Genomic DNA, 13,937 nt, shown 5'->3' on the forward strand with positions numbered 1-13,937 from the left:
TCCCTTTTTCCTGTGGATGCATACCAGGATATACTGTTTGGCCGGGGCATATGGCTTTTAGCTTCCACTTGCCCCCTTGATTTTTTTGTTTTTTCGTAATGAACAACATGCACAACTGTATGTGATGGACCTAAAAACTTACATTATAAAAATTATTTTAAATTAATTAAAGTTGTATGACCTTTTAATACATCTTCTCTGGGCAGGGTACTCTCCATACTTGAACACTGCCAGGTCATGCTGGACCTTTGAGCTCACTCTTCGCGCCTCCTCTTTTCTATGTACTCAGTCTACCCAAATACAATGAATCCTTCAGGATCTAGCTATACCCTTCTCTTTGAAATCTTTTCCAACCACTCTAACACATCTGATCATTTTTCCTTTTTATGAACTTTCCTTGAACAAGGTCAAGAGCATGGGTTGAAGTGGGGGGTGACGGTGAATAGCTTGCATCTCACCTGCTAACTCCAAACAACTGGCCATGACTCCTTACTAAAATGTGTTGAGTTGCACCTGGCCTCAGTTGGAAAGAGAGTTGTCATTGATTATGAATGTTTGTCCTGCGTGTGGGAAGTACCAGATAGGTAGCATGTATCACATGCCCTTTCCCTGCCTGGATTGGACAGTTACTATTTTATATACCATCTTCCCCCGGTATCTGTGGGATATTGATTCCAGGACCTACTGCACATACCAAAGTCTATGGATTCTTAAGTCCCTCATATAAAATGGCATAGTATTTGTCTATAATTTATGTATTATATCTAGATTGCTTATAATACCTATTACAACTTAAATGTTATGTGAGTGGTTGTTTTACAGTATTGTTTAGGGAATAATGTCAAGAATAAAAAATCTGCACATGTTCAATACAGATGCACGTTCCCCGCCCCCCCCCCCCCCAAATATTTTTGATCTGTGGTTGGTTGACTTCATTGTTGTGGATTCACAGATGGGGAGGACTGACTGTACTAGCCTTGGTTTGACAACACAGTTTTTAACATCTAAGGCATAGATACCATATTTTTTCTTGCTTTTTTTCTGTTGATGATGTTTATGTTGTTATTGTTTTTATTATCCCCTCAGAATTTATCATGGAGCTAAGGGAGCTCAGCAAATAACATTTCTGTTGTACTTCTTTCACCTTGACATTTCAAGTCTGTTTCTGCTATAATTTCTCTTATGTCTAAAAGACCTCTTTTATTGGTTCTTTTACATCAGATCTACTGATGACAAAATTTTAGTTTTCCTCTGTTTGCAACTGTTATCTAGAGCATGACTTCAGAAATATTGAACTCTCTTCTCTTTCCCCTGTAGACCCTTTCTGTGAACTCTGTTTACTTGACTGGTTTTAAGTGGCATAACTGATCCATACCAGCTTAAGTGTTCAGCTTCCCATTGGAATAAGCCAAGTGTGTATCATAAGTCCTTGGCTGTTTAATATATTTAATTTGAACTTGTCCTGACATAGTGGATGCTCACTAATATTTGTCTATAAAACTAAAGGATCTTAAAAAGATAACAAAACACTTAAATTTTGTTACTATGGTAGACTTACCTGTGCAAATGATTTATAAGTTCTAGAGCTTTATTTATTACCGATAATAATCAGTCAGATCAAAACTACTTGTAAAATGCAAACATCTGAAAACCATCATTCTGAACTATAGTAACATAAGAATATTCATTTAGAGCCACTAATTTGCAAGGTGTTCGCCAATCAAGAGAAAAGTGCTAAGAATTCTAACCAAACCTGAGAAGCAGAAACTGAGAATTTCAGGAAGATCTTTGTAGATCAGAGTACTGACATTAAGCATTTTTAAAAATTGAGTTAAAATGCAAAAATAGAAATTATTTTTGCTTGCTTTTCCCAACACTGTACCTTCTTGCAAATAGAACATAAGAATGTCCTTATATCAGGATATCTGTAGTGTTCTATTGGATACTAGCCAAAATTTATCTGTCTTTCTATCTTTCTATCCATCCATCCATCCATCCATCCATCCATCCATCCAAGATTTGATGTTTGAAAATGAGACTGACTTTCATTTATAGGTATTACAGTTGAAATGGATTTCAAGGCAATTAAGAAAGCTGAAAATTATATGAAGATTTTTTTTTTTATTTTGAAAGTGAAGTGCAGTCAATTGGTCCATTATTAGGCTGTTGTATTGAACCAGTATTTACTGAGTGACTTCTATATTGTATGCTGATTATCTTGTTAATCTGATTTTGAATGTAAGGCGAGAAAAATTTGAGAAATATATAACTGAACAAAGACCATTAGTAAATAGTAGAGCTGAAATTAGAACTCAGCTTTTTTTGTTGTGTTTTGTTTTGTTTTGAGATGGAGTCTTGCTCTGTCTCCCAGGCTGGAGTGCAGTGGCGCGATTTCGGCTCACTGCAAGCTCCGCCTCCCAGGTTCACGCCATTCTCCTGCCTCAGCCTCCCAAGTAGCTGGGACTACAGGCGCCCGCCACCACGCCCAGCTAATTTTTTGTATTTTTTTTAGTAGAGATGGGGTTTCATCGTGTTAGCCAGGATGGTCTCGATTTCCTGACCTCGTGATCCGCCCACCTTGGCCTCCCAAAGTGTTGGGATTACAGGCGTCAGCCACCACGCCTGGCAGAACTCAGCTTTTTCTTAAATTTATATTTTGCCAAACTTTTATTCATCAATAACATTTGATATATAACAAAATCTAATACATGTAAAAATGTTTTCATTATTGTTTGAGATGGAAAATGTAGATATGTAATAATGTATGTAGTCAGGCTTTTATAAGCGTTCAGTGACATCATGTAAAAATCCAACTCCTGTAGATTTTGCTTTATGAAAGAAAAAAATACAAAATTAACTATGATCTTAGCTCTTATATCCATAGAAAACTGCAGCATACTAGTCTTTTAAAAGTAAATAATATGTTTAGTTCATGACAAAAAAATCTACTGTACATTTTTATTTTGGCCAGGTGCGGTGGCTCACACCTGTAATTCCAGTTCTTTGGGTGGCTGAGATGGGAGGACCACTTGAGTCTAGAAGTTCAAGACCAACTTGGACAACATAGTGAGGCCCTACCTATCTCTACAAAAAATAAGAAAAAAATTAGCTGAGTGTGGTGGCACATGCCTGTGGTCATAGCTACTTGGGAGCCTGAGGATGGAGGGCCACTTGGGCCCAGGAGTTAGAGTCTAACTAGATGTTGCTACTGCATTCCAGCCTGGGTGACAGAATGTCTCTTAAAAAAATTATTTTTAATAGTTAACTCAATTTTTCATAATTACTATATATGTACATATTTTTACATAGGATAATACATTAGTGATTATAATTATATTTAATCTTTTATTTACCAAGGACTTGTTCAGTGGAATGACACTTTCATGCTACTCCAATTAGTTATGTGATTTATGGTTTATGAGTATTTTATAATTAAACCCTCACTGGAATTTTGGCTTGCTCTTTGAAATGGTTTTGGTTATATTTATTTTGTTAAGTTTCTGCTCATCCCACCAAAAAAGTCACTTTTCTTTTAGATCTCTTTTGTTTCTTAAATTTGTTTTTAAGTAATCACTTTTATAAGTAAATCCATAATAGATTTTGGATTGAGGTGATAGGGAATGATGAGAAAAATTGTCATTACTTTACTGGGAGAATCAAGTAATTTAAGTTATTTTCCTAAGCTAATATTTTGACAAATGTAGATGCAAAATATTGATAGTAAGGGAAATTGCCATCATCAGAAAGAATAGTATTTTTTCAAAATAAATATCATTATTAAGTGTGGCTCCTTAACCCGATTCCTCTAGACTACTAAAAAACCTGAATATTCATTGGTATGATTGATACTGTTCTTCTGTTTTAAGAAAAGGTAAGAAAAGTCAATGACTTTCTGGTAAGACGAGATCTAAAAAATCTTAGTGTTTTTGTTTACAAATTTCTTAAGAGGACATAAGCTTTATTATAGCAATAGTTTTTAGACGTAGAGTATATTTCTTTTGGAAAAATAATGAAATTTGTTTGTAACAAAGGGAAAGTAATACCTACTTTTAATTTTTTTCTTGCCTACCATGGCATAATTGATACATGGCATCTTCTCACGCCTAAGATTAAAACTATCAGGTGCTACCTGGTTTATTTTGGACAACCTCAGTCTTGTCCCAGTTAGTTTTAAAATGTCTGCTTCATACGTGTTGAGCCACTGCATTTCCTGCTTTAGAGCCTTGTGTTATGCCAACATCACTATCTGTGCTGCCTCAACTACAAATTGGATGAACAGCCTGTGACACTTTTTCAATATTATTACATTAAACCAAGTGGATTTTGATTGATAACCTAATATTCAACTAATGCAGAACATCAATCATGGCAAGTATATTAATTATTTAATATTGCAGTCTAATTCAGAAATCGATGTGCTGCATGAGGGGAAGGGAAACTCATGGTTCCCAGAAGATTTAAGACAGGGAATGATTAAAAAAAGACCTGCTGTACTCCTGTGTGTTAGTTCGATACAAATCTTTATTCATTTGCCAATAATCTCTTCCCATTTTCCACTTCAGGACCATTTTATCAGTTTTGAGACCTATAATTGAATTAAGTCTGCTTTCAGCACAGGGCAAAAGGAGTTGCACAAATATTGATGAAGTCATGACAGGGACAACCCAAGAGACAGACCACTAAAGAGGACAGGTTTTATACCATTTGTTGTAAGATCCTTCTGTCAATGTCTTGGATGTTGCCTCTCTATTTTTTCAAATTCATTAAAACTCTTAGAATCACTTTTAAGACTTTTGTGTTTAAATATCCTCCATCATAATAACATTTCTATAGTTTATTTTTTATCTTCATGTACATTATCCTTCTTACTCTTTCACAGCAACCTTGTGTGTTAGGTAAGGCAAGTAAGCCTCACATCATAGGTGGACAATCTGAGATTGAGAAAAGTTGGATTATTACTCAAGCTCACAGGACTATTTTGTAGTAGTGTTTAAATTTGAGTGTAGGCACTCTGCTTCTAAAACGAGTATTATATGTCATACTGTTTTGTGTTGTATTTATGTACTCATGATACTTTACCTGTGTTGTTTTGAGGTGGTCATTCTTCCTTATCTTTCTGACCAAAGTAAAAGTAAAGAAAACTGATTTTCATGGAGAACTTGCTTAAACTTAGGTGTCCCAATGTGATATGTGTTAAGCTTTATGTATATGCAAACCTTCCAGATATAAATGAAAACTTCTTGGTTTATCTTTCCCTAGACTAGAATATACTTAAGTCCCTGACTCTCATATATGTATATATTACCTAAAATTACCTTCTTTTCATAATATATACATACATACATATGTGTACGTACGTACATATGTATGTATGTATGGGAGTAGGGGACTTAAATGTATTTTGTCATTAAAGCATTAAACTTGCTGCCCCAGCTTTCTTTTGGTCCATATTTGCCTGGTTTTATGGGAAACCTTTTTTTGGGAAACCCTTCTGAATCATTTTGTATTATGTGTCTTTTGTAAATAATACATTGCTGGATTTTGGTTTTTTATCCAATCTGAAAATCTTTTCTGGGATTTCAATTCCAGATGATTATGGGTGAACTTTCTCTAGTTTTCTTTTTAGTTACTGATTACTTAGATTACAATAATTGCTCAATTCTAGGCCATCCTTTACTTGCCTTACCTTGTTGATTCTTCCTGAATTTATTTATCTTCTTACCTGCATTATATTCTTCAAGACTTCTTTTAAATGATGTCTTTGTGTGGTGAATTTTCTGAAACCTTGTATGCTGAGAATTTCTTTATATTTCTTTGTATTTAAATAATAGTTTATTAGCTATGTGTTAATTCTTGGTTCACAGTTCTTTTCCTGTAACACTTTATCTTGAGAGTTGTTATTACTCCATTGTCTTCTTGTCTTCACTTTAGTGTCGGGAAATCTAATATCAGTGATATTCTTCCTTTGTGTAGGGGTCTCCTTTTTCATTCCGGAAGCTTTTTGACTTTTCTCTTAATCCATTATAGTCTTAAATGTCCGTATAATATGCTTTGCTGCAGATTTTTAAACATCCTTTCAGCACTCTATGTGCCCTTTGAACCTGAGATTTGAATATTTTTATATCTGGGAAATCTCTGTCATTATTTCTTCAAATATTTCTTCTCTTCCATTTTTTTTAACCCTCCTTCTAGGATTCTTATTATATAGATGTTAACACTTCTACTCCTGTTCTTAATTCTATCAGTTGTTTGTCTTGTCTTTTTGCCCCCTCCCTATGCCTTCTGCAATAGTTCTTCTACCCAGTTTTCCAGCTTATTAATTCATCCTCTGTCTGTATCTATTGTATTTTCAATCCATCCTCTGAATTCTTTATTTCAAATGATTATGTTTGTAATACCCACTATCATATATTGGTTCTTTTTCATAACTTCATTTTCATACTTATATTTCTAAAAATCATCTCTTTGAAGATGTTATTATGTTTACATTCTTGTTTAGTTTATTCTCTTTTCTCTGGATAAGATTATTATTTTTTAAAATTCTGGTTTATACATCTTACAGTTTTCCTTGTGGGTTCATCTTTTTTTTTCCTAACAGCATTTAGCTGCCTTGGATAGCAATTTTAATCTAAAAGGAGGGGTAAAAACCTAAGATCTGACTTGTGCTTCTCCAGGCTAATTTAAAAACTAGAGTGGACAATCTCTAGTGTTCTAGTTTAGCCTCAACTACTTTCCCCGTGGCTCCCACACCCTCAAAAACAGTAAAAAAAATAAATAAATAACCACCCACACCCTACACATGTTCATGCACATACAGGCACCTGTGCCTTCCTCCTAATACTACTGTTTTATCTCAGGCAGCCACTCAGTGTTGCAAATTGCCTTGCTCTTTACATGGGTTGGAGATAGAGTGGGGCTGAATAGTACTGCTCAGAGACCTGAGCTGGTTGCTACTGACTCTGTACCCAAGCTTGTCTTGTGATTCAGATGTCATATCCTTAAATATATTGATTCAGTCATTGTATTGGGTGCTGGAATATAAAAATTAAAAAGACGTAATGCATATCGCCAAGGAGTTTTCACTTCACTGGTGTAAGTAGGAAAGTAAATAGGCATTTATAAAATACTGTGATCAGTTCTGTGATGGGACATGCCCCGAGTGTTAATGGAAATATATAGGAAGAATTCATCACATAATTTGTGGGACAAGGAGAAGGTTTCCCCAATTGAAGAATGGTTTAGGATGAGTCCTGAAGGATGGATTTTTGTTAGATAGGGAAGATTAGAGGAGGCTGGGAGAAAAGGAGCATTTTAGGTAGGGGTGAAAGTGGTTCATTGGTGAGTGAAACCAGGTTAGTAGTTTGTTGTGGCTGCTGTTGTTACTTTTCATGTAATGTAGCTTTGACAAGATAACAGAGGGAATAGGTAAACTGCAGTATGGTAGGATACTGTAGATTTTAAGAAGAGAATTGACATGATTAAGTTTACATTTTATAAAGATTTTGTTGTGTTAATGGAAAATGAATTGACATGAGACAAGGCAGCAACTACTGGCATTCAATAAGAGACTATTGCAGCAATTTAGGGAGAAAAGATGATGGACTGAAATAACATAAAAGCTGTGGAGATAGAAAGAAATAGTTAGATCTAATGATAATGAAGGTTGTTGGATAGCCAGGGCCCTATGGTTGATTACATTTGGTTACATTTGATAGTGAAGGAAAGGGAATGTGCCAAGAATGATGACTAGTTTTCTCTCAGCCATGCCATTCAAAACATTTTATAAATATCTTTTAATTTAAAGAATTACTTAGAAACATGGCAAAGCAATAGCCTACATTGTCTTTTTGTTTTAAAGAGCAGTTTCTTGTCCTCATTCTCAAATACAGGTATCTCAGAAAATTAAGTGATTTTCCCTAAGATTGTGGCAGACACAGTTGACAGCAAACCTACCCTGAAATGAAGCTATTTACAGTCTTTGTTTATCCCATTTTGTGTGAACATTAATATCTTTCTTTCAGAATTACTAACGTGTATGATGATGAGATGCTGCATCAGACCCTGCTGGCACCATTGTATGACATACCTTAACCTTTCTAAAATCTGAAATATTCTGATAAAGCATGTCTAGCCCCAGCTATTTCAGATAATAAAGTATGGACTTATACTTTGAATCTGATCATTTTCGTTCTTTATATATTGCAATATTATTTTCTAATAAGAACCATTTTGTGACAATGTAGCTGTGCGAGAAAGCGAAGTAGATGTGTATTATATAGCACAGACTCTAAGATAGATTGCCAAGTGAAGGTACAAAACAGAGTGTATAATATGCTTCTATTGTGGATTTCAACAAACATAGAAGGGAGAAAGACACACACACACACATACACACATACACACACACGAGTGCATATCTTCAGAAGGATTAACCAAGATTGAGAACTGGGAGTCAGTGATGGGAGGAAGACTTAATTTTATTTTGTGTGTGTGTGTGTGTGTGCATGCATGTGCACACATACATATATGTTGCCCTGTTCAGATGTTTCACTATATGTTAATACTTTTTGGTTTAAATTTTAAGTTATACAAATAACTATATTTGAATGTTCTTGTGAAAATGTAAAGATTCATTTGACTTCCAGCTCCGATAAATGCATTAATTTTGTAATGATAAAGTATAAAATAATTATTTATATAGATAGTAGCCTTCTCTCACACCTTGCAGTAATTTATTCTTATCATTTGTCAGTAGGACTGCAGACATTAGAGATTAAATAATGAGTTTCAGAAACCATTAAATATCTAAACATTGAATATATAGTTTTGCTAAGATTGCCAGAAGCAGGAAATACAGAAGAGAATGGCTGAAAATTAGTACTAATCAGTAGAAGTGGGAATTTACTCTAATATGTCAGACTGGGCAGTGAGAGCAAAGGTTGGAAGCCATGAGTACAGTTTTCCAGCAGCAAATCTGAAGGGAATAAAAATGGAGAAATTTGGAAGCAAGACAAAGGAAACAGGTAAGTATATCTTTGGCAAAGAAAAAATAGAAGACAGAAATAGAAAAGAAAGTTGAGACCCCTCAGAGAAGTGAGATGTGGGGAGAAGATTAAACATCATGAATATAATAATGTTGTTTATTGTTGGAGGATTTATATTAATAATTACTTTCTGCAATGTGGTAGGATTATAATTTCTTGTTTAAAAAGGTAATGCTTGGTACTTACAATGGAACTAAAATATTGCTTGATCAGAATGAGAAAAGCCAAAGTTCATTTGTCACAAATAAATTAGTACAGATTGAAATCAGAAAAAATTTAACTATTTGCCACATTTCAACAAATCTGTATTTAAATTATGTTTGCTAGATGTACAGATACTTGTATTTTCAGTTCCATAAGCAGTCTCTTCTACAGTAAAAAGCAGGAAATTTAATACTTAAAATATATCATGATATTTGATGTTTATGTTTTCTTTGGTGATATTTTCTTTTTTGATATTAAAATGATCATAGGTCCTGATTTGTAGTGTGCATTAAATTCATAAAATTAATGACAGGAGAAAATAGGATAAGATTTAGTTATTTAGCTGTGTACTCACTAATGTATTCTTTATGTGTACATTCTTTTTATAAAAACGCAACCATTGGTGGATGGATATTTGAGAAACCAAATATAATAAGATGTGAGTTATAGAATCTGGGTGGTGGATAGAATCTGTAAATTTGAACATTTTCATAATAAATGTTGGAAATAAACAATAATATAATAAAATTTCTAATAGAAAAGCTAGTGTGAAAGGAATAGATATTGTGTGAAGAATAAAATGATGTTTGTGAGTTCTTTACATTTTTCATTGACTTTGAAAAATCTGAAACTTTTTTTAGTGAAATACCAATTTAGTGGTAAATCTGATATAAATTATCTGTTCACTTTTGATAAAAATTGTTTTGTCCTTAAAAACAGTGTTATGAACATAAGTAAATACATATGAAAAAATTACAAGGGTTTATAAAACATTTTTGAGGTAAACAAATTAGAGCAGACAAGGATTTAGCAACTATTTAGAACTTTTACTCTTCTATTTTAGGGAATCTGGAAACATCAAAGCTGGATTAGAACATCTGGTAAGTTCTCATTTTCTCTTGAACATTTGCATCATCTTTGATATCTGCATTCTAAATGAACACTTTTGAATGAGCTTTGAATACTTTGTATTGAGAAAGTCAACCATTTCCCAAAGGGTCAGCTTACTGTTATTATGTGAAGGCACTTACATTTTCATTTCTCTTATCATTTCAAGGGAATTTAAAAATTTTTTAAATTACTTTTTTTTGATGTAGAGATGAAATAAAATGGATGACAATCCTTGGATTGATGCTTGCTTTAATTATAAACAAAAATTGTTTGGTGTAGAATTTTTGGCATATCTTGATCTGATGAAAACAAGCTTGTGTTTTAAGAAAAACACAATCAAATATTGCATGCATAAATATGGTATGTTTTAGCAATTTAGCAGCTTTGAAAGAAGTGCACAGCTTTGTCTTTCCTGATGTCTTTGCTTTATGAATAATGCATTGGTTTAAACTACATTCAGATTTAGAATATAAAATAATTGAGATGCAAAATTTTTGGTTTAAGTAAACATTTTAGAGAAAAGTGAAATTCAAACTGATTTAGCATTAAAATCTGTTATTGATCAAAAAATTGGAAAACCCTTACAATTGTAATATGTTTGAAATTCATTGAGCCCACTGTATTGAGTGTTTATTACAACATTAAGTAGTTCATTTAAACTGAGCGTTACAGAGTCATCCTCTGGTTTCTGGTCAGATCCAAATGTTGAATAATTAATGGTACATATTCTTTTGTAAATACAGTCTAAGTAGTTTTTTAATGCAAGACTTCATTCGTATATCATACTGTAGCTTTGTTAACTATTAATGTACTTTTGTTCTGCTTCCACAAAAGCAAACAGTAGCAAGAGACAGCTTCATTTTGACTTATAGCAGTTTTATAGTTGGAAGGAATTTTTGGTTTTTCTTTTATAGCTAATGGAAACTGAGGAAACCTAGACTTTTAAAAGTGATCCTAAAAATTAGAGATTAATTATTAAAAAGGAGGATATAATAGAAAATTTGAGCTATGTATTTGGGGATCAGAAGTTAGTAAATAACATGGTTATTTTCATCATTAAAAAATATTTCCTGAACCACTGTTTATAACTTCATAATAGCACATAGATTTAGGACATATGGATATCAGAATAAACATGTTAGTTTGTAACATCACATTCCAGTATCAGTTAGGGGCTTACAACAAGGAAGAACAGCTATCATAGTGCCAATATGAGGTGTCTTTTATTTTTTATTTTTATTTATTTATTTATTTATTTGTTTTTTTGAGATGGAGCCTCGCTCTTTCTCCCAGATTAGTGTGCAGTGGTGCGATCTCAGCTCATTGCAACCTCTGCCTCCCAGGTTCAAGTGATTCTTCTGCCTCAGCCTCCCAGTATTTGGACTTACAGGTGCCCGTCACCACACTCAGCTATTTTTTTGTGTGTTTTTAGTAGAGATGGGGTTTCACCATATTAGCCAGGCTGGTCTCAAACACCTGACCTCAGGTGATCCACCCGCCTCAGCCTCCCAAAATGCTGGAATTACAGGCGTGAGCCACCTGGCCTGAGGTGTCTTTTATACTTTTGTTGTAAATTATTATTTATTAAAAATACTTTATATTTACTTTGTTTGTGTTCTTCAGTAAATAAAAATGGCTTTGATGTTTTACTAGTTTAAATTTCGTATGTTTTATACTTACTAGTAGCATCTCATTTTCAGTGACTATTTCACACATTTATATTGTACTTATAATTTTATCCAGCAGTGGTTTTCTAGCTGTGCCTTCGGCTGCCCAGAAAGCTCTCCACAGCAGGTGGTACTCCAGACTTCCACTACTCACTTTAACCAAAATAGTTCCACTTTTACTTATTTTGTAAACTTTTGAACTTTTAAATAACATTTCATCTGAAGAAAGAGTACTCTGGCTAAAAATATTTTAAAACTTTTTATAAAACATAGCTACTCATTGAAGAATAATTGTATATTAATTATTCTTCCCTATTTTTGACACTAAGTTATATTTCATTTTTACTTATGTCATATACCTCAAATGTATTTCAAAGATAAGCATTTTGGGAATGAGAGAGCCAGGTCATATACCTCAAATATATTTCAAAGATAAGCATTTTGGGAATAAAGAGCCAGGACTAGCATACAGTTAGGTAGTAAGAAGCAGATGATTTGAATGCATTTTATCTTAGTTGTTTGAAAGACTGTAACTTTATGTTGTAATCGACCCACTAACTGTGAACTATTAACAATATATTCATCTATCCATCTGTCTGTTTATCCATCCATTCATCCATCTTGCATTGTACATTAATAATACTCATTAAAGTCAGTGATATTATGAAGAATATCTTTATAAACCTTTCTAAAAAGGTTCATGCCTAAAATGGAGCTAAACTCACAATTTATGGGTTGAGCATTAATGAAACCTGTTCTGTCTAGCATCTGTGGGCACCTGAGGTTTGTGTCTCTCCCTTTCACTGCTGAGCATATTGTTTAGAGCCTTCTAGCATAGATGTAGCTCTTCTTTGAATTGGCTGTATATCCAAATACAATTAGAAGTATATTTTTAAATAGATCAGTGTTAAAAAATATATGATAATATTAAAATAAGAAAAGCATCCTGTACATTTGGAATTAATCTCTTCTTTGTGTAGCTTTCTTCAGTCTTTGTTTTTAAAAAATTATTTACTTAGATTATCATAGAGAGCATTGTTCTAAGGGGGTAAAAGCCAATATACATTTTAATAAGTTAAGAAAAATTATATTTGTCGCTTGTTATACTTGCTACCAGGTAACATAGTTGCCCTGTTTTTGTGCTATATGTTTATATACTTTTCTTGGTATATAGTTATATGTAACCCTGAAAAGGGGAAAGCAAGTGTGGATCTGTGGAGAAAAGAGTGGGATAGGTGGACTCTTCCCCTGGAACCTCTTCAAGGACTGATTTCCTTTACTTAAGTTTTTTACAGTCTCTTAGACCACTGATTCAGCCTCTCTGTTTTTTTCTTTTTTAATCATTTCTTTCTCTCAATGTTGCCAAGTGATCCTGAGAACTGTCCTAGTATCTCATTCTCCTCAGCTTAATTTTTTAATAATGTACTGTCTAATACCATCTTATTTTTCTTTTCACAAACTTGTTCACTACCCATAAAGCCTATGCCTTTTTAAAGTTCTAGACTCAGACTTTGAAGGCTGTTGCTCTGTTATCCATTGATGATTCTTGTCTGATGATTGCAAAATATAGATTTTCCAATTCTACTGCTCCCTCCATGTTACAGCCAGCATTCTACAGTAAGGAAGAGCCCACCTTCCTTATTTTATTTATCTATTTATCAGGAGTAAGGACTCATGATTTTAATTTTATTAAATAGGTTATTGTTAGTTACTTCCCTTATTTATTTTGATGCTCAGATTGTCCCAGATTTATCAAGGGAGAATCTTTTCAAGATGGCTTCTGGGTTCTTATAACAAGTGAGAACTCTGACTCCTAATAACACCAATACTGTTACTCATTTGTTCAGTCATGTAATACACATAAAATAGTTTTAGAATTGCTACAAGCATACTTTGAGTAAAACAACCCTATTAAAAAGAGTTCAAGATTTATTTGCAGTTCCCTTTCTCCAATGAATATAGTTATGTTATTCATTTGAAATATAGTTGCATTTATTTGTTTCTGTTTGCATTCAATTTAGGTGTCTTTGTCCCCATTCCTATTGATTTAATTATCTTTGGACATGTATGATGTTAACATACTTCCAGAGGTCAAAATTATACACAGTGGTATTCTCAGAGAGATGTGTCA

At 33.4% G+C, this 13,937-nt stretch overlaps 1 protein-coding gene across 6 annotated transcripts in view, besides 1 other annotated feature; it reads left to right on the forward strand.

Moving 5' to 3' along the window:
• RSRC1 (arginine and serine rich coiled-coil 1) overlaps window positions 1–13,937 on the forward strand; it is a 435,642-nt gene that overhangs the window by 177,858 nt on the left and 243,847 nt on the right. For 5 of the 6 annotated variants that reach the window (NM_001271838.2, NM_016625.4, NM_001271834.2 and 2 more), the window contains one exon: window positions 10,093–10,129. In NM_001271838.2, coding sequence (NP_001258767.1) covers window positions 10,093–10,129 — 37 coding nt within the window. Of the gene's footprint in view, window positions 1–8,021; window positions 8,175–10,092; window positions 10,130–13,937 lie in introns of those variants that run through there. The other variant, XM_047448274.1, reaches the window with a different exon arrangement.
• Window positions 6,761–6,961: a silencer, noted in NCBI's record as "peak4879 fragment used in MPRA reporter construct". NCBI's record gives its function as "represses an SCP1 promoter by STARR-seq MPRAs in K562 erythroleukemia cells {active_cell/tissue: K562}" and the evidence as "EXISTENCE:reporter gene assay evidence [ECO:0000049][PMID:32103011]".

This window comes from Homo sapiens, chromosome 3, assembly GCF_000001405.40.
Source record: "Homo sapiens chromosome 3, GRCh38.p14 Primary Assembly".
In the NCBI taxonomy this organism is placed as follows: Eukaryota; Metazoa; Chordata; class Mammalia; order Primates; family Hominidae; genus Homo; species Homo sapiens.